This window comes from Homo sapiens, chromosome 9, assembly GCF_000001405.40.
Source record: "Homo sapiens chromosome 9, GRCh38.p14 Primary Assembly".
Taxonomy (NCBI): Eukaryota; Metazoa; Chordata; class Mammalia; order Primates; family Hominidae; genus Homo; species Homo sapiens.
The window spans coordinates 13,174,150-13,195,643 of record NC_000009.12 but is presented as its reverse complement, the minus strand read 5'-3'; the positions used below and the strand labels follow the sequence as shown (position 1 = coordinate 13,195,643).

At 34.0% G+C, this 21,494-nt stretch overlaps 1 protein-coding gene across 57 annotated transcripts in view; it reads left to right on the top strand.

The window, feature by feature from the left end:
- The window catches only part of MPDZ (multiple PDZ domain crumbs cell polarity complex component), a 173,986-nt gene that overhangs the window by 84,049 nt on the left and 68,443 nt on the right, over window positions 1–21,494 (top strand). For all 57 annotated transcript variants that reach the window (NM_001375425.1, NM_001375420.1, NM_001375419.1 and 54 more), the window contains 8 exons: window positions 2,331–2,477; window positions 3,349–3,513; window positions 5,345–5,530; window positions 6,651–6,860; window positions 9,258–9,374; window positions 12,059–12,226; window positions 19,227–19,508; window positions 19,769–19,892. In NM_001375425.1, the coding sequence (NP_001362354.1) occupies window positions 2,331–2,477; window positions 3,349–3,513; window positions 5,345–5,530; window positions 6,651–6,860; window positions 9,258–9,374; window positions 12,059–12,226; window positions 19,227–19,508; window positions 19,769–19,892 (1,399 nt within the window). The remainder of the gene's footprint in view (window positions 1–2,330; window positions 2,478–3,348; window positions 3,514–5,344; window positions 5,531–6,650; window positions 6,861–9,257; window positions 9,375–12,058; window positions 12,227–19,226; window positions 19,509–19,768; window positions 19,893–21,494) is intronic.

The window sequence follows — 21,494 nt, the reverse complement described above, 5'->3', positions numbered from 1 at the left end:
GCTGTGGTGAATGTTTTATGTTTATTAGTAGCCTGTATATCTAGCATAGCCATTGTGATCTACCATCCCAAAAGGGGGTCTAATAAAATTGTTATAAATTATCAATCTTAAGGTACATACCATACCAGCAAATTTCACGGATTTCAAAAGAAAAAATAAAATAGTATGTTAGGTAGAATTTTTCATATTTCTTGTAATATTTATATACCTCTGGACTAGAAGGGAGAAGATACAACAGATGACATATATTAATAACTAGCGTTTATAGCATACTTTGTGCCAAGCAGTAGTGTTCTTAGTATTTCATTTAGTCCTCATGACCATAATCATCTTTTTGTTTGTTTGTTTGTTTTTTTGAGACAAGGTCTCGCTCTGTCACCCAGGCTGGAGTGCAGTGGTGCAGTCATGGCTCACTGCAGCCTTGACCACCAGGGCTCAAACTTTTCTCCTGCCTCAGCCTTCCGAGTAGCTTGGACTACAGGCATGCAGCACCACGCCCAACTGATTTTTGTATTTTTTGTAGAGACTGGGTTTTGCCATGTTGCCCAGGCTGGTCTTGGACTTCTGGACTCCAGCAGTCTGCCTGCCTCAGCCTCCCAAATTGCTGGGATTACAGGCATGCACCACTGCACCTTGCTATAATCTTTTTTTTTTTAAACATTCAAAATGATTAACAGTCAAATATGAATTGAGTAAGTATAGCTGTTACTACCATTTTAAATTGACCTAAGGAAAAATAGATTAAGGTCCATCTTAACAGTGGTTAACATGAAACTTCAGAAATTATTTTCATGGAGGGATAGGGTTAATGTGGCAGGTGTGCATAACTGAGACTGCAGTCCTTCGGGTGGTAATTGAATAATGAAGGAGACCCTTTGACTAGCCATTTTGTTGTAGGCATCAGAGCTCAGACTGAACTTTTTTTTTTAAATTTTACTTTTAAGTTCTAGGATACATGTGCAGAATGTGCAGGTTTGTTACATAGGTATACATGTGCCATGGTGGTTTGCTGCACCTGTCAACCCATCATCTAGGTTTTAAGGCCTGCATGCATTAGGTATTTATCCTAATGCTCTCCCTCCCCTTGCCCCCACCACCCTACAGGCCCTAGTGTGTGATGTTTCCCTCCCTGTGTCCTTGTATTCTCATTGTTCAACTCCCACTTATGAGTGAGAACATATGGTGTTTGGTTTTCTGTTCCTGTGTTAGTTTGCTGAGAGTGATGGCTTCTAGCTTCATCCATGTCCCTGCAAAGGACATGAACTAATTCTTTTTTATGGCTGTGTAGTATTCCATGGTGTATATACATTTTCTTTATCCAAAGACTGAACTTTTAACTGCCCTTTGTGCTCATGCTTTCTTGGTGGCATTCCTAGTAATCTGTCAAGTGCGGAAGTATACAATAAATGAAAAAGGACTAAGATATTTATGGGCCTTGGCAAGATAAAGGTAATAAGACATAGATCTGACTTCAAATTGTTTGCTATGTAGCGATACAGCATAAATGAAATCATAAGGGAAGTAGTGTAACAGGACTGACTAATGGACATTATTGGATGGGACATTCTCAGGGGAAGTGATGCCTAAATTGGGTTTTCAGGGGTGAGAAGGATTTCATCCAGTATTAGATTTCAAAGTCAGGTGATATCGCTTCTGAAACTGACTTCTGCACGTTATCATTAAAATTTGAAAGAGCTCTTTTTAATCAAACTTTTTTTTAGTCCTTTTATCCCTCAGTTGCCTTAACTATAAAATAAAAGGGATAAAGTAGATCGTCTTTGGCATACATTCTGATTTTAATATTTTATTTATTGGATTCTGTGTGAAAATGAACAGCTTTCTAATATTCTTCATTATTTAATGTAACAGTAGAAAATTGGAAGTTCATTCTTTGGTTTTAAGGTTTGATCATTTTTAAAGACCGTTGTCTCTGGTTACAGCATAAACCCAGGAATGTGGTTCTGCGTTCTTTGTTTAGCTTCAAACCCTTTTCTAGCTGTGCAGCTCTGGTCATGGTACCTTTTCTGAACCTCGTTTTTCTACTTGGGAAACAAGAGAGAAATTGTACCTATTTATGAGAAACAGATGAGACCTATGTAATGGGAGCTTGCGGCTCACTGCTTCCTTTCAGTTTGTAAGTTCATGAAATCAAAAGACACCAGTACTCTTTCAAAGGAAAAGCCCCAAAGCTTTGCAGTTTTACAATATGGTTTTTGAAGCTTTGTGAGAAAGATGACCACTTTTGGGTAAACATAAAACATAAAATGTGTGCATGAGTAAAAATAAAAAGAATATAAAAATTGTGGTGATCTTTTTTTTTTTCTTTTCAGGTGGCCCATGTGAGCAAGTTTAGTGAGAACAGTGGATTGGGGATAAGCCTGGAAGCGACAGTGGGACATCATTTTATCCGATCTGTTCTACCAGAGGGTCCTGTTGGACACAGCGGGAAGCTCTTCAGTGGAGACGAGCTATTGGAAGTAAGGAGCTATGCTGTTCCTTCTCCTCCTTAAATAAGACATGGAAAAGCTTGCAGGAGGCTTAATGTGGTGAATAAATTCTCATTTTAAATTTCCCCTCCAAAGGGGACTTGAGAGAAATCTACAGATAAAAACAACCCAAAGCAGAAATTTTGTATCTGTGTATCTGTGTGTACATTTAGCTTTAGAACTAATTCCATGCCATTTTTTATTTAGGTTCAGAAAACTATAAAAACAGTCTTTGAAATTTTTTTTAACATTTATTTAATTTTTAGAATAAGTAACGCATTCAGATGTTTAAAATCACAGAGAATACAAAGATAAAGAATGGAAAAGGGTCTCCTTCCTGTCCCAATTCATCCAGTTCTCATCACCCTTCATTAGGTAACTACTAATATATTTGCTTCTTTGTAATCTGCCAGTATTTTTAATGCATAAACAAGAAAGTTTGAATATATTATTTTCCCTCACTTTTTAAAGTACACTAGCATACAATATATGTCATTGTCCAATTTTTTTTTTACTTTATAATTATACAAAATGTCAAAGTTTTATACTATTCTTCTCCTTGTCCTTTTCATTCTTTGGAAATATTTTTATTGTCTCTTTTTTCCAGACCACTACACTGGCAGATCAAACATAGATGAAAGCTAGTGGTTTTTCTTTGAGTGCTTTAGAAGCTCCAATTCCAACAATACTCTAAACTTGCACATAAATTTAGATAGTATTTCCACAGGTCTCACTATAGTTCTGAGCACAGTAAACTGTGGTAATGACTATAGTAAAATTTATATTTAATAAAAAAATTGTGTTCAAAAGAATGTTCATATTATGAAGTGTTGTTTGTTGGACAATGTATCTTTTTTCACAGGTAAATGGCATAACTTTACTTGGGGAAAATCACCAAGATGTGGTGAATATCTTAAAAGAACTGCCTATAGAAGTGACAATGGTGTGCTGTCGTCGAACTGTGCCACCCACCACCCAATCAGAATTGGATAGCCTGGACTTATGTGATATTGAGCTAACAGAAAAGGTATCAGATTTGCATACATGAGGCTAACCTACATATATAATGGAAAGGCTAAATGGCTTAAAATTTTTTAAGCATTTTTCAATTTGGTATTTGATTTACTCACATCGCCCATGGCTTGGAGGATAGAATTTAAAGTCAGACAAATCTGGGTTTGAATCAGACTTGACACTAGCTGTGGGAAATTGGGCAAATCACTTCATCTTTCTGAACCTCAGTTTTCTCCTTGGTAAAATGTAAGTCATGATGCTTGTCTCAAAAAGTTGCCCTGAAGGTTAAATAAGGTTATGTAATCATGTTAGATGTTAATGCATACTATATACTTGTTTAATTTACTTGCAGCATTTCTATGAAGTAGATGCTCATATTCGTCTCCATTTGCAGAAGAGAAAACTGAAGTATATAGTGTGTACATAGTACATATGTGGTAAAAAATATTTTTAAATAACCTACCCAACTCTGCCTGGCACACAGTTACCACTTAGTGAATGGCTAAAATATGGATGGACACAGCATTTCTGTGTGGATAGGTCTTACTTGTTTACATACTATCCTTTTAAAATACAATAAATTTGGCCCATAATGATACATGTCAGATAATTCTCTGTGACATTCAGGAACTCACATTTTCCTGTTTGTTTATTGTTTTTCATTCATTCGTATCATGATGTCAAGAAATGGAGCTAATCAGCTTTTCTGAGGATACACAATACATAGCTAAAGTTAGGATTAGGACTTTGCATAATATGTGGTCCAGTCAAATCTCATTTAAGGTATATTGAGAGATGATGTTAGGATTTGATTTATAGTATATTGAATGAATCAGTACAATGGAATAATTTGGAAAATTTTGAAGAATAAAATGCATAGTTTAGTATTCATATGGGTGATTAGAATAGGGTAGAACAAGAAACATAATTCCAAATTTTATAGCACTCAAAGTCTAGTACCCTATATGTATCCATACATGTTTTTATGTGTATAATGGGATTATTACAATAAAGCAAATGGGTGTCATTTGTATCTGTGGTCCTAGGCTGTGCAATAATTGATTAGAAGCAAAGATATTCTACAAACTAGAATTTCATCCTCATAAACACATCTTTCTTTAAGTTATGTTCATACAGATGAACAAAGTTGAATTAACCTATATTAACCTAGTATTTTGAATCCCTATTTCTGTCTGATGCTTTATATATGTTACTTCATTTAGTCCTCAGAAAATTCTATGAGATGGGTAACTCTGGGACCCAGTTGATGAATATTGCTCAATGTAATTCAAATTTTAAATATTCAAGCTGCTTCAAGCTGGGGGCAAATCTGATTTCAAATCTTATGTTTTGCCACTGTGTATGTTAATTTGTTAATGAAATAACCATATGCACAAGTCACAGCATTTTAGAACTCTTATTTGTATAGAGTATAGAACTTTTGCATATATCCATTTTCTCTTGTTTTTATTTATCATAAGAATTCCTTTTATTTAATATCAAAATAGCTTTACATTTTTTTCTGACTAGAGATGATTGAAACACTGATGAAAAAAGTGACAGTCACGCACAATCCTGCTGTCGAGATATAACCATTGCATATTTTCATAGACCTTTGAATCATATATTTTTAATGTTTGTTAAAACTTAGGTATTTCTTCCTTCTTAACAACTTTCAGTAATTACTACCTTAATTCCTAAAGGTTTCATGAAAAGCTGTTGCTACTCTTGTTTGAGGATGTTTTGTTTGGACAGATGCTGGGAATATCCCTTTTCTTGTAGTGTTGGTATGTGTGTCAGCTAATGCAATGCCTCTGAAATAAGAGCTGTCTGATATTATCCAGCCTCACGTAGATCTAGGTGAGTTCATCGGGTCATCAGAGACAGAGGATCCAGTGCTGGCGATGACTGATGCGGGTCAGAGTACAGAAGAGGTTCAAGCACCTTTGGCCATGTGGGAGGCTGGCATTCAGCACATAGAGCTGGAGAAAGGGAGCAAAGGACTTGGTTTTAGCATTTTAGATTATCAGGTAAGTATATACTACTTTTAACAATTTTTAAAGGCCTATTGTTGCTATCAAAGAAAAAGCAGATGATGATAGTTTATAACCATCAAAGATGTTTTCTTTTTTCTAGTCAGTCTTTCAAAATAGTGATTTATAGGATTCACTGATTATCATAAAGGATTTCTTTTAACATTGAGTTCATTGAGCTATTTTTATTTCATCTCTTGGAATTGGAAGATACATTTTAGGAATATCATAGTGGGTGTTTTTTCGTTATTTGGGAAGTGCTTATGCTATTTGTATTTCCATGGGCTTATTTGATGACTCATATTTTAGTGGTAAGTCATAAAGAAGTAGGTATTTCTTTTGTCTATAACATGAATGCTAATTTATAATCTGATATTCCAATTAATATTTCTGCTGTTCCAATCATTTGACTAAATTTATGAATATACTTAAATTGGTCAAGTTGGCCTTTGTCCCTGCTTGCATTGCATTCTTTGCTAAGGGAGGAGATGGTAAAGCCTGTCTGATAGAGTGCAGCTGTTGTTCCTTACTTACACTAAATCAGAAAGCCACCTTGGATGACTCCAGGAAGTTGTGTTCATAGGGCCTGACTCTGGAGCCTTGTTAAAACATTAAGGTTGCTGTGTGTCTGAAAACACTTCACTACCACATACTTTATGGCCTTGCTCTCTATTCTTTCATTTCAAAAGGATGGGTCCTACCTTCAGTGCACTTATATCTAGTAGTGAGTTGATGTTCCATACAGTAACACCCTATTTAACAATGCTTTTGTTAATAATTAATATACCCAACATCTGGCCTCCAATAATAGTTATAAAATTTGATAACTTATCAAAGTTAAAATTATAATTTTAAAGTTATCTGTACAATTTAAGAGGTCTACTCAGGAACATTAGGAAGTGAGGGTGCCATTGTTTAAGGTGACTTCTTCCTAAACCCTCTAAAATGGAGATAGCTTTTGTCTAAATAATTAGAAATTTTGTATGGATTTTTTTTGGCATGAAAATTTTTAAAGGCACTTGAGACAATTACTCATTCGTTACGATTTAGAGTGGACGACCTGTAGAAGAATTTTCTTTGTAAAATGAGCTGACTCTTTCCTTTTGCCTTCTGTCAGGATCCAATTGATCCAGCAAGCACTGTGATTATAATTCGTTCTTTGGTGCCTGGCGGCATTGCTGAAAAGGATGGACGACTTCTTCCTGGTGACCGACTCATGTTTGTAAACGATGTTAACTTGGAAAACAGCAGTCTTGAGGAAGCTGTAGAAGCACTGAAGGGAGCACCGTCAGGGACTGTGAGAATAGGAGTTGCTAAGCCTTTACCCGTAAGAATTCAGACTTTATTGCTTCCCTTTATATTTATAAGCAAAATGGTTCATAGGTCTACTTTTCGCTTTAGGTGTTCTCATGATTGAATCGTGACTTTTAGTAGTTTTCATCAACGTGATTACTAGCTCCATTCGTATAAAGATTTAGTTTTGAGTAATATTCAAAAAAAATAAAGGAAAGAAAATAGCCAGGAAGTTTATAAATAAACTTCTAACTTACTGGTCTTTGGTTCACTTTTGACATTGATTGATTGATTGATTGATTGATGGAGCCTTGCTCTGTTGCTCAGGCTGGAGTGCAGTGGCGAAATCTCGGTTCATTGCAGTCTCCACCTCCTAGATTCAAGCGATTCTCCTGCCTCCTAAGACCTCCTGAGTTGCTGGGACTACAGCCACGACCATGCCTGGCTAATTTTTGTATTTTTAGTGGAGACGGAGTTTCACCATGTTGGCCAGGCTGGTCTCGAACTCCTTACCTCAAGTGATCCCCCTACCTCAGCCTCCCAAAGTGCTAGGAATACAGGTGTGAGCCACCACGCCCAGCCTTAACATTTTATATTTGATAATAAGGTCATGATTAATGCAAAATCAAATATTTTCAAATGAATATGGCTTACAATATCTATACCAATGTAATGGGGTGTTAAAAAAATTAATAGCATTAACTAACAATAAAATCTTTAATCACAGTGGGATAAAGTAGAATCTCTGTCAGAGTGGCTTCAAGTTGCTAAATTCAGTTGACTTCAACACATTTGCTGTCTAGTTACTGCAGAGCAGGAAATTAAACTTTCCAAAATGGGTTCATCAGTTTGTGGCTCTCCTGGCAGGGAATAGCTCCCAAATCATAAATTACTGTAATAATAGAAACAACTTTATGAATCCGTGCTACATAAAGCAGTATGTTATATTAAATGTAGTGATTGCAACATGGCACTTATCATTGTATTGCAGTTAAATATTAGAGATGTTCTCAATATTTGTGGGTTTTTTCCAGTACGTGAATATAGTTTGAAGTCTTAAGAAAATGCAAACACATAAATATAATTTCGTAAGTAGCAATATGGGTTTGTTGATTTTTGTGAAAGAATTTGTTAAAACAGTAAGCTTTGTTAATGTATTTTAAGTGCCAAAGTTTTGTGCACCACTTTTTAGTCCACAGAGAATTTCAGTAGCCTATTAAAATATATTTATGAAAAAAGAAAGAGAAGGAGGAGGGCAGGATGATTGAAGAATATGTTAATCCAATCTGAAATCGAACCAGGCTTGTAAAAATTATGACAAAAGAGCACTATGGATGGGAATGTAAGAATAAAGATAGGCTATCAGGGACTCTACCTATTTATTAAGATTGGATTATGCATTTGGTTCTGGTCTTTCTGTTGGACAGAGAGAAATGGCAAACATGACTCAATATACCTTTTAGTTTTACTGTCCTTAAGATGAAACCATACCAGTTATTCAGAAGCAGTCTTTTTTTTTTCTGTATAGTTCCAAAATAAATTTCTTTTATGACGGTATTTGATATTTTAAATTCAGTATGCCTTGCAGCATATGATAAATACCTCTACTTCCCAAAGTGAGGCTTAATAAATACTAAACTCACATATATGGGCAAAGAAGAAAAACAGTTTCTTTTCCCCTATAATTCTTCTTCTGTATGTTTTGCTGATGCCAGGTGATGTAGGCAGGCTGATTATCTAAATATTTTAGCCCATTTCGTCTGAGAGTGGAATAAATATGTTAGCTTTTCTGTCAGCGTGACCAAGTTTGTGATACGATATCTCTAACCTGCAAGTTAAGCAGACTGTGGATATGTAGAGATTTGGTTTTTGTTTCGTTTTGTTTTATAAGCCATGCTAAATTGAATTCCCGTAGAGTTCACTAACATTCCTTTTCAAGTAAATTGGATTCTTTAAAATAATATTCTTGTAAGGGATGACAGAAGTTGATATTTCTTTTTAATATTTTGTTTTTCTGCAACTTCTTTTATTAATACCTAAAAGTTGCTTCATTTCTATATTAGGAAGTCATTGTTTGACCAGAATATTTTGCAGATAAAAATAACCGGAAGATTATTAGAATATTAAAAAAAAAATTCATTTAAAAAAATTCTTATAAGAAGAATGAAAAATTAGTAGAAAGGGATTCTCATCCAACAGGTGATTTTTATATTAGAGTAAATAATCCTCATTGTGTCTTATCAAATGAATGTCAAATATGAATATCAGATTGCATACTTACCATTCTATGTTGAAGTCATATCGTTTGAAAACTTTCCAATTTCTTTCTCTTCTCGCCCCCCTCACTTTTCCTACCTTTACTCTTCTTTTCCATTTTCTTTCTTCTTTGCTGTTCTCTCTCTTTTCCATGAATACCATTTTTTCCCTGCAGCTTTCACCAGAAGAAGGTTATGTTTCTGCTAAGGAGGATTCCTTTCTCTACCCACCACACTCCTGTGAGGAAGCAGGGCTGGCTGACAAACCCCTCTTCAGGGCTGACTTGGCTCTGGTTAGTGGCTATGACTTATCAAGCTTTCTTTCAGAAACCTGATATGTCTTACTTTGCCTTTCAAAATATTCTGAAGAAGTCTATTATATTCTTTGTTCATTATTATATTTGGAAAGATAAACATGTTTTCTCCAACTTAGTTCTCACAATTGAAAATGGGAAGAAAAACCATAATAAATATGAAAAACATTTGTGAGGAAAACTTAATTAACGTTGCATTGTAGCAGTATGTAGAATTAATCTTTGTGCCATATCTAAAGTTTGTGGAGCATTTGTTTGCTCCAATTTCACGCTTAGATATCTCTAGGCATTCTTTAACTGTGCTCAATATTCAGTCATAAATCACTGTTTTGGCTGTATTTAATGAGGTAATAGGTATCTTTTTTCCATTAGATATTAATAGTGTGAGAATCATATAAATTGGTTCAGTTATTAAGAACACCAGTTTTATGGAAAGGTAAACCCCATGTTTTCTATAAATACATATATGTAAGTATACTGATTTACCAGAAAAATTATAAATTAAAATTTTATTTCTGTTTGATGTTTAAAATAGTATCCATTGGAATAAAAGTATTTGCAGGCACTCTGCCCTTAAGAAACTTTTTCTTGTAGAGGGTACAATGCTATATCAATAACTAAAGGATAAAACTAAATACCAGGCATGAATATACATGTGACATTTACTCAACATAAATACAACAAATTGTACATCCTGTTCACATTACCCCTACTATTAGAGCTAGGTTCCTTACTCAACGTTTTTTGTGGGGCAAACATTGTGCACTGTTGCTAAAAAGGAATATACTTGCTTTTTAAATACTTGTTTGAGTTTCATTAGACTGGAGAAAGGTTTAAAACCTGTTAAATTCTTCATTATGTGTTTATAACTGCGCACATCTTGCTTTAAAACAGAGTGAATTATTTCTTTGACTATATATACATTTTGCTGATTGTAATTTCGGGGGAGACAATTCCTTTTGCTAATATTTTTAAATTGCAAGCTCTTGAAATAGCCATTTGAAAAGTTTTGGTATATGTTATAATAAATGCAATAATTTCACACTGTAATACTTAACATACCAGGTAACTTATGGCCCTGCTCTCCATGGGTATTATGTTAGCACTTCAAAACTAGATAGCTTAGTATATACAACGAATTACATACAGTACTGTGGTGTAAATAGTACCCAGCCATAGCAAATACTTTTTGAAATGTCACAGGATACAAATACTATATATGATTATTTCTAAAGTACCCGACGAAATAGCATTCTCTCTAGCCTTTACATGGCTTCCTTGAACCTCCTTAATGGATACCAATCAAAAGGAAGATTAGTTCCACTTTTATGTGAGCTTGGCATCTTATAATAGTAATATGCGTCCTGGGTCTTCTCCTTAGCCAGCTAAGTAATCTTGGACTGGTCACTCAATTTCTTTGAGTCTTAGTGTTTTATCTCTACAGTAAATAAATGAATTGATTGTTAATATCTCTCCTAAGATCCTAAGATATCAGCAATATACATACAAATTATATTGAGGTATTCTTTCATTAATGTTACTTAAATATGTATTGTAATCTATGACACAAGGCTTAGTTAATAGTGTCTATCTAGATTGTTGTATGTTATGTATATTTGTAAGGGTAAACCTCCACATAGTGACTCACTAGTGAATTTGAACATGTATTTAAAATATATTATTAGGCCTATGAAGTATATTTGAAGAGAAAATCACTTCAAAATGGCCCACAGGTATTTTTAATAGTTTTTTGTAAGAATGTGACCTGATATAATGTTATAATTCTTCTAACTTCTCCTGGGTAAGCAGTAAGTTGAAATTACAAAAAAAAAATTAGAACATATGGAATTTTGCCAAGATAGACAGAAAATGCTGGTAGTATCAGAGAAAGGTAGTATATATGTCAGTTCTGCCTATTCTCAGGTATGACTTTGAGTGAATTGCAAAAAGAACTTCAAGCTCATCATAATTTAAATATTAATCTTGATTCTGTGACAGAAGACAGCAATAGGATTATTAGAGAATATGTAGTGAAATTCTCTATCTCACTCTTTATGAGTTTTCTTACAAGTTTATAACTTAAAGCTTCACCATAACCAGATCATAATTAGGCCCCTTGTTTGTTAGTATAATTTTAGCATGAAATCACAGATTTTCTTTTTGGTTTCTGCAACTTGAATGGTTTTAAAATCTAGTTCAAGATAATTTAAACAAAATATATAGTTTTAGTGTGGCTTACAAATATATAATTGCCTAGCTGCCTCATTGAATAACAGTTTATTTTAGTTGACTAGGAAAAATTATGACACAATTTTATTATAAAATTGTAAGAGTTGGGCATGGGAACTGTAAGAAAGTAAATATTTTTCTTAACTATGGAACTGTTTAAACATAGACTTCATCCAGGCCCTTTGTTAATTGTTGCCTTTAGCCCTTTTATTGATGAAATAAAATAACCTTGTATGCCAGCACTTTCTGCTGTAGGTGGGCTATTTATCCTTGTTCTGCTGCATTAGCAGTGTCTGATGAGGGTTAAGAGGGCATATAGAAAATACAATAGATAAAAGAATGATACCAGTTTGCCTTTTAGTCTCAAGTGGAGATTGTTTGTCATATATGTAATAGAACAGAATTCCCAACTGATATTATTGTTTTGTTTCTAGGTGGGCACAAATGATGCTGACTTAGTAGATGAATCCACATTTGAGTCTCCATACTCTCCTGAAAATGACAGCATCTACTCTACTCAAGCCTCTATTTTATCTCTTCATGGCAGTTCTTGTGGTGATGGCCTGAACTATGGTTCTTCCCTTCCATCATCTCCTCCTAAGGTACAAAGGAAAAGCCAATTTTTCTTTTATAGGAAAGTCTTGTGTGTAATTTTCCAGAGCTCAGTCCTTATGGGGAGTTGTGGGAATAACATATTGGAGACATTATGTTTCTCCAGTTGTGGATTCATTATTGGATTAAAGTACAATTTCATTTAGCTAATGTTGGTTGGATAGCTTTCAGATTACTAGAAACTATTTAAATTTAGTGTCTGAGAATGATAGATACAGAGGCTCAAAGCTTTGATTAGGGTTTGCATGTCAGAAAGAAAAATTTAGCATCATATATTTCTCAAGTTGTGTTTTTAGCAGTGTATACTTTGGAAAAATTACAAGAATAACTTTATTTTCTTAATGGTTTTAAAACTGACTTCTATGCAAAGTTGGATAGTAAAATATTTCTTGCATTAATTTAACATTTACTAGCTAAGTTAAACTTAATGCTGTCATATGTTTTTATACAAAATGATGCCAAAGAATACTTTACATAAAAAATCACAGTGAATGGTAAATTATGTTTATGTCACTGGATGTGAACGAAGAATTTAGTCACTATTTGACATATCTGTGCCATTTATATTTTAGAAATAGATTATTGGCATAAATGCCCCAACTCTATTCATTTTCTTGGTGACATACTCTATAATGTTCAATAAGTAATACTTTAAAATGTATCCAATGTTTTGGGTGTGAAATGGTATCTTACTATTTTAATTTGGATTTCCTGATTACTAATGAGAATGAATGTTTTTTTCATAATATTGGCCATTTGTTTTTCACTTTTCATCAAAGATCTCTTCATATCTTTTGGCCATTTTGTATTGGGTTGCTCATTTTTCTTTTGATTCTTTGCAGTTGTTTTTTGGAAATTGATATGCAAAGCAATTCAACATATATTTTTAATGAATATCTATGTACATGTGTGTAGTAAAATCTAAAAATGTGTTGGCAGGATACTTCTCAACTTCAAAAAAGAAGTTATCCTTGGAGAAAAAAGGAAGTATGGGAATTTAGCTATGTGTCTAATACATTATAACATATTATGAGGAAAGAGAGATTGATGAAAATATGGCAGAATGTTTATATCTATTAAATCATGGCAAAGAGTTCATATATGAATATATTTTCTTTATTTTTCTATATTGGAAATATACCATAAACATACATTTAAAATTAAGTTGAAAAGACTGGACAATTTTTTTTAATATACGAAATATGTATTTTCTGCATAAATTGAATTCAATGGGAAGGGGTATTTATGAATAAGTTGGAAAGTAGAATTTCCGTAGGTCTAGCACTGTTTTCCTCCTTTCCTGATTAACAGGTTTTTTGGCCAGAACATTTTCAAAGCATTTTCTTTTATGTTCAAGGTGCACCTGTTATCCTTGCAAATGATGCTGGGCAGTCTCCTTGAAATGGTTTGCAAGGTATAATCTTGAGTGGAGCAGCTGCTCCTCTCTCACCACACCTGAGACTGTCTGTCTGGCTGTGTCCTGTCTGGAATGTGTTCTGGAATGTGTTCAGTCTTTACTGGCCTCAGGGCTGGAAGCTGAGTTCATCTCCTGATGGAATCTCCTAATCCACAGCATAGCACACGTCTTCTTCCCAGTGGACAGATTGCATTGTTTAACTTAGTAATTGTTACTTAAAGGGATTACACAATCTGCATACTGAGAAGCATATATTTTACAGGGCAAATGCTGGCTGTATGCAGCACAACATATTGGCTTACCGAAGTCTGTTTGCCTCCTTTTGTATTTATTTATTTTGTTTTCCCCAAGCAGTTTACTCTTTTGTTGAAGCAAATTTTGGCAAGCTCGTTTATCAACTGAAATACTTAAACTACAAAACAACAAAGAAGACATTAATGAGGGTGTTTTAAAACACATTGTGAAACTCCTGTGTGCTTTTAGTTTTCTTAAAAAGTAGGACTGTTCCTGCATCGTGGTAAAATCTCTGCAACATTTTATATTTTTGGTGACAACTTTCTAATACCTAGACTTTTGCTAAAATTTTTTATGTAAATAAAATAAATATATAATGTGTCCTTCCTGTTTCTTTGCAACAAATTTATATTAAAAAGACACAATGGTGATTTGTTATGGAATTTACAATTGACAATTTTTCTTAAAAGTGAGCGTACTTAAAGGCTTTTTAATTTATAAAGTAATACCGTATAGTATATGATTTTTAAGAAAAACAAAGATGCCTCTATCTTGATTTGAAAGAAGGATTAAAATAGAATGTGAGGATCTCAGCAATTCCTTAGATTTTTGACTTTGCTAACTATGTGATTATCTTGTAGCCTTAAATGGCAACAGGGTATGAACAAATAATTTTACCTGTCTCTTCCCCTTGATGAATGGTCTTTTGGCCTTCGTCAGGTATACTACCAGAAGTGATCAGTGCTAATCACCTACAGCACAGACTCTTCATAGAGGGAGGCCTCGCTCTTCAGGGCAGCCTAAACACCAAAGGGCTGTAGCCATATGTTGGGGCTCTTCCTCACAAAATTATCTAATTTGGGGGTCCATTCTGCTTTACTTTTTTAAGAGTATGTATTTGCTTAATTTGATTAGTTACCATGTAAAGATTTACGGGAAATAACAATTACTCAAGAACCTGAAAAATATACCCGCCTCTATGGCATTTGGCTTAATAGAGGCAGGTCATTGAAATATGGATTTTAAGAGCAACATGGCTCTAGCCGTGTTTTTCCTTTCTTATTATTTTATGTTTGATTTCTTTGGTTAATCATTTTACTCCTTTTCCCTTGTTACCTCCAAAGATATGACAAAATGCAGAAATAATTGGTTTTTAAATTGGCAGACTTTTGTTTAAAATTTTAACATGGTTTTTAGAACATTTTTTTTTCCTATTTTGATTTAAAAATACAATGGATAAAGATTTAATATCTATTCAAGTTTCCCCTTCTACTCCTTATTCACACCTCTACACCCTGCCCTCCCGTGTACACTCATACTCTTACTCTGTCCGGTGATGATATTGTTACCAATGTGGTGTCTATCCTTCGTTCTTGAATATCAGTTCTGCCAGGAATTACTTTTTATTCTAATGCAGGTTGAACTTGATGTTTATCAAGATAGGAACCCTTTTGCACCTTGTACGTCAACTCAACTAACGGATTTAATGATATTTTTTAGTAGTCTGAACATTCTTACAAATTATTACTTAGTGTCATTGTCTAGCATAAAATATTATTGCCTTCACATCCATGTTTAGAATGTTGATACTATTTCTTATTTTTTTTTGCAGATGGGGTTAGAATAAAAAACTAAATCACTCTAATCAAAATGATGAGTGACTGTGAGAGTCTTAGTGACAAAATTGCAGGCTCTCCAAGGTATAAAAGATGTTGCCTTTTTCCTTAGTAGGATCAGTGTCAAAACAATAAAGGAAGTGTACCTTATCTCAGAAAGAGTGGGAGAAGGACAGTTGGAGCAGCTTTGGTTGCAATCTATTTTTTAAATGTATAATAAGGATCCTCTGGTAGACTGCTTATTGAAGAAAAGCAGGTTATGGCTATTAAATGCTCGTGTATTTAGTTAGTTTTTGTAAATATATTATCTGGGTAAATAATATGCCCAACTCTAACCTTAATTTATGCATTGCGCTTAAGAAATAGAACTTTTAAAAAGTATATTTGACATTTTAATTTAACCTTTTTTAATTTTTTACTGAGGACAAGAATATATCAAGTGAAGTCACATATTAATATAGACTTTTGAAAGACTTCACTTTAGATATCAAGTTGCACTGGGAAATTGTGGTTATTTTTGTACATCTTATGAGGGAAGAACTGTTTTTCTTTTAGATCCACAAGACTTTTAAAAATAAAACTGAGTTGGTTGTTGAGCAACCAGAAACGTTTCTGAAGTGGGCGTATGTTGTCTACTGTGTTGATTAGCTCTTTCTTTTCTGTGTGTCTGTGTTAACTCCTTCATGAATAATGCATGGGACTGTTATACCATTTACAGTACACCCCAGCTAACAAGGGCGACTTGACCTCTTTTGCTAATGAAAAGCAATTTTGATTGTTATCTTTGAGGCATGGGGGAGATGATTTACTAATTATTATAATCAATTTAGCAATATGGAAGCTAACCAGTTCTGTAGTAAGTACATTATTATTTTTCCTAAGAATAAAATTATCAAAGTTGGGTGAGGGAGCCAACAGGTTATTGTTTAGATCCTGGGCTTGTGGAGGATGATACCTTCCTGTCATTTGTTTCTGAAGATACTACAGATGTTAATTGCTTATATGATATTTCCACTTGCCTCAATTCTTTGTACTAGGAATATCTGATAATTCTAGAGAGATAATAAGTCACATTCAAGGAAAGGAGTGTAATAAATTGTGTTGGAGCAATTAATTACCCGTTTAGAAAAAAGTGACAGACCCATATCTCACACCATACCCTGAAATAAATCAAGATGGTTAAAATCTAAAAGAAAGCATTTATAAAAGAGGAAAAATACTAGAAAGCATTTCATTTACTTTGTGTGGAAGGACTTATTAAGTAATATATAAAACGCAAAAGCACAAGAGAATGACAAATTTGGTTGCAGAAATAATTTAACTTCTGCACGACAAAATATTACCTGTACAAACTAAAAGACAAGTGACAGACTGGGAGAATATTTGCAGTGTATATCACAAAGACTTTATATTCAGACTGTGCCAATGACAAGAAGAATGTCTATTCGTCACCATAAATACCTGTAAATGCCTATTAAGATAGTTTTCTCTTGGAGGCTCCTGTGAATCCAGATCAATTAACGTCATATGCTTTATGCTCTTGATCTCTTCATAAATAGGAACTTTAAAGTGATTAGAACTGAATTGCATTTTAAGTGAAATTTGAAATTATGAGTTATTTGCCTCTATATGTAATTTGAACTCAGAGAAAAATCGGATAAAGAATATGAAGAGAGTGTTAACAGAAGAAATACAAATGGCTTATCCTTGATAATTGTCAGGAACACACATAGTAATACACTAATATTTCTTACAAATCAGATTGCCAAACTAATCTAGGACTGGCAAGATTCATTAACAGGTATTCCCATATTTTCCTTCTGTAAGAGAAAATTGGAACACAAGTTAGCAGTATGTACCAAATTTTTTTTTTTTTTTTTTTGAGATGCAGTCTCGCTCTGTTACCCAGGCTGGAGTGCAGTGGCACAATCTGGGCTAACTGCAAGCTCTGCCTCCTGGATTCACGCCATTCTCCTGCCTCAGCCTCCTGAGTAGCTGGGACTTCAGGCACCAGCCACCACGCCCGGCTAATTTTTTTTGTATTTTTAGTGGCTCACGCCTGTAATCCCAACACTTTGAGAGGCCGAGGCAGGCGAATCACGAGGTCAGGAGATGAAGACCATCACGATGAGACCCCGTCTCTACTAAAAATATGTACCAGCATTTTAAGTGTGCATATCATTTGACCAACCATTGAAATTCTAGTGGTTCATAGTGAATATATCTTCACACATGTGGACAAAGATGTAGAATATAAATAACAGCAGTAGCTAACAATTATTGGGCATTTTCTATTAAGTCAGGCCTGTTTTTAGTACTTTGTGGATATGAATACTCTCTGTCCTCCCAAAAGTCCTGTATTAGTTTCTATTAATTTCCCCAATTAGGCATAGTGTTTAAGTAACTTGTCCAAGCTCTAACATTTAATTAGTGTTGAGCCAGGATTTGAACTCAGGCATCCTGGTTCACAGTCTACACACCACTGTCTTTCATACTTAGGAATAACTTACAGCCATAAGAAAATTGAAGTTGACTTGTTTTTAAACTGACATGGAAATTTCTCACATCAAGATGAAAAGATACTGCAAAAAAAGTAAAAGTGCTATTTATTGTATGGCTGTGTTTAGTTTTTAAAAATATATATGTATATCTGCTTGTATGTGTGAGTGTGTGCATGTGTACTTATATGTATATATTATGCAAATGCATTAAAAATTTGATGGATAAACACCTAACTGATGCTAGCCATTTTTACTGGGGAAGCGAATGGAAGTAGAAGCCATAGCGAAAACTCTTCATATTGTATTCTATATGCATACACAGTATATGTCTGTATCTTGAATCCTTTATGCAATAGTATGTTCATATGCTACTTTTATACATTGAAACTATCAATGAAAGAATTGAAGGGAAAACTGATATGTTTATTCAACAGCAGTTTATGAAGCAACTGCTTTCCCAAAGCACTCAAGTGATACAATATATCTGTTGTAAGTAGATATACATATTTATATAGAACTCTACAATTTTAGAGTTTCAGAGGATTGTAGAAATTATATAAAGAGAGGTTCTGTGATATACAAATTGTTAATAACAGAGCCTGGATTTAGAGCATACATTTTATGACAACCCGTCTTACTATTCCTTCTGTTATATCGTACAGAATATTTATGCAAATTTTTCCTACGATAATTTGAATTGTAAAACTTTCTATTCTTCTCCATAAATACTTATAAATGCCTATCAAAATAATTTTCTCTTGGAGGCCCTTATGAGTCCAAATCAATTAATGTCATACTTTTTATGTCCTTGAGCTCATAATAAATGGGAACTTCAGACTGATGGGAAACAAACTACACTTTAAGTGAGATTTGGAAGTATGCTACTTGCTCTTCTATGTAATTTGAACTCTGAATAATTTTATTTGTAAATAGAACATAGTATTTCTAAATGATCTTACGTACAGTATCTTGTACAAGTATAACTCAGTAGAACGTGAGATGTATGACTTTCAGGAAATGTATTTAAAAGCATTTATGAAAATAAAGATATGCAGAAAATCTGCTAAGTGAGGAATTGTGTTTGTTAATGCTTTTTGAGTAATAAATAATTGTTATGTTTTACATTTCACTAAATAGTTGTTCATTAAGAAGTGATGTTATATATTGATGTAATTCTGGTCACATTTTTCATGTTTTGTTGTTGTTGTTTTTTAACTACCAGGATGTTATTGAAAATTCTTGTGATCCAGTACTTGATCTGCATATGTCTCTGGAGGAACTATATACCCAGAATCTCCTGCAAAGACAGGATGAGAATACACCTTCGGTGGACATAAGTATGGGGCCTGCTTCTGGCTTTACTATAAATGACTACACACCTGCAAATGCTATTGAACAACAATATGAATGTGAAAACACAATAGTGTGGACTGAATCTCATTTACCAAGTGAAGTTATATCAAGTGCAGAACTTCCTTCTGTGCTACCCGATTCAGCTGGAAAGGTAATATTTTAAAGATATGGTTTGTGTTTTATGATGAGATAGGGAATAGTGAAGTAAGGTTATTCTGGCTAATCTCTTCATTTGGAATGAGTGCTTCTTGACACTAAGATTTTCAGAAGGCAACCTATGAACTTGTTTTGGTTGCAGGTTCTTGCAAAATAAAGCACAATCAATTAGAGAACATGCGTGATGTTGAAATCACGCTCCAAAGTCTAGTTTCCCTTTCCATGTGACTTGTGACTTCTTTTTCTTTCTTAAAGGGCTCTGAGTACCTGCTTGAACAGAGCTCCCTGGCCTGTAATGCTGAGTGTGTCATGCTTCAAAATGTATCTAAAGAATCTTTTGAAAGGACTATTAATATAGCAAAAGGCAATTCTAGCCTAGGTAAGTTTCTCATTTTCCTCATATACCTACTCCTCAACCCCCTTGACAAGGGGAAATATTGAACATGGTAAATTTCAATTTTTTATGCTGTAGATAAGAGAACAGATGGTAGAAATTTTCCTGTAGTTTTTATTTCTATGTCCTCATTATTTTTTTGAAATGGTTTACAGGTTTGTTTACTTCATATGAGCAGAAATCCCTCATTCTCTTAATTCAGAGTATTCACAAGCCTCATTTACATTCAGTAAAAGATATATGAATTGTTTGTGTATGAAACAGCAAATCAGAAAAGGAATTCTTAGAAAATGAAAACTCAGCAATTTGGAATTCTAAATTCTTTGGAAAAGTAAATTATTAGTTACTTTGAATGTACCAGTGATGTATAAGTCAGTTTATATTTAATTTCTTTCACTCACTGAAAGAAAGACTAAAAAGACAACCAGGTGTGCCACCACCAAAATGTAAATGTGAGTTATTCAGTAGGACTTCCCAGGTGGCAGGATTTTTTTGTCCTATTTTAACCACAAAACCCTCTGAATTGGGCAAAAAAGACTTTCTGTAGAAATATCCTAATTACAATAGCTAAAACTGTGTTGAGGCAGAGCACATTTGTTCTCTCATTGAGTTACACAGTCATGTGACTCAGCCCTGTCTTTCTTGATAAATAGAATGGTAGATGAGTTGCTCTGAGTGTCCAAATGCAGCCCAAGACTCTGGTTAATTCAGCATCAGAGATCCTTTTCCTTCTATGAAGTAAGCAACCACTACCCGTTACACTGACGTCTTATGGCAGGGTCTTGTTTCCTTGTTAAGTTTTGAGATTTGGCAGAGGAATCCAGCAGTGCTTACTTGATGAGTGGGATTTCAGCCTTGGTCTCCAAGATTTTGTTCCATTTGATGGTGGCGGGGTACTACCAACAGCAGCTAAACAGAATTGTAGCAGATAGTATTTGTGTTGTTGTAATATTTCTTATGTACGTTATGTTTAATAGGATGATGATACAAAGCTTGAACTGCAGAACTTTGCATAACTCATTAATTATGAGACAGATATCTAAGCCATGCCAGAATTATTTCATTGGCTAATTTAGTATTTCTGATGCCATGTTACTCAAAATACTAGTTTTGTAGGATGTTAATAGGAGTTATAAATGAGTTCCAAGTTTAAAAGTTTGGGATGAGATAAATTTAAGAAGACGGGTTTCTTTTTACATCTCAATATCTTTTATACTCCAGTGTGCATTGTGAATCACTAAGAGATTATCAAATGTAGCATTTTTCACATTTAATTGGCCATAGAACCCATTTTTCTTGAATAATTGATAAGGCAGAGATTTTGCAAAGCCTATCTGAGAACTATTATTCTAGTGTATTTACTCAACTAGCAAACATTTATTTTAATACTATATCCACTATGCATAGACACCATAATATCACTGTTCTTAACACAAGTTTAAGAGAGTAAGCTAATTGACATTTAAAATCCTAAAGGCATTAAAATATTGTACATGCTATAATAGATACTTACAGAGAACATTAAAGGCTTAAAAGAGGGAATAACTAATCCCTACTCTCCAAGTGTGGAGAACTTTAGAATGGTTT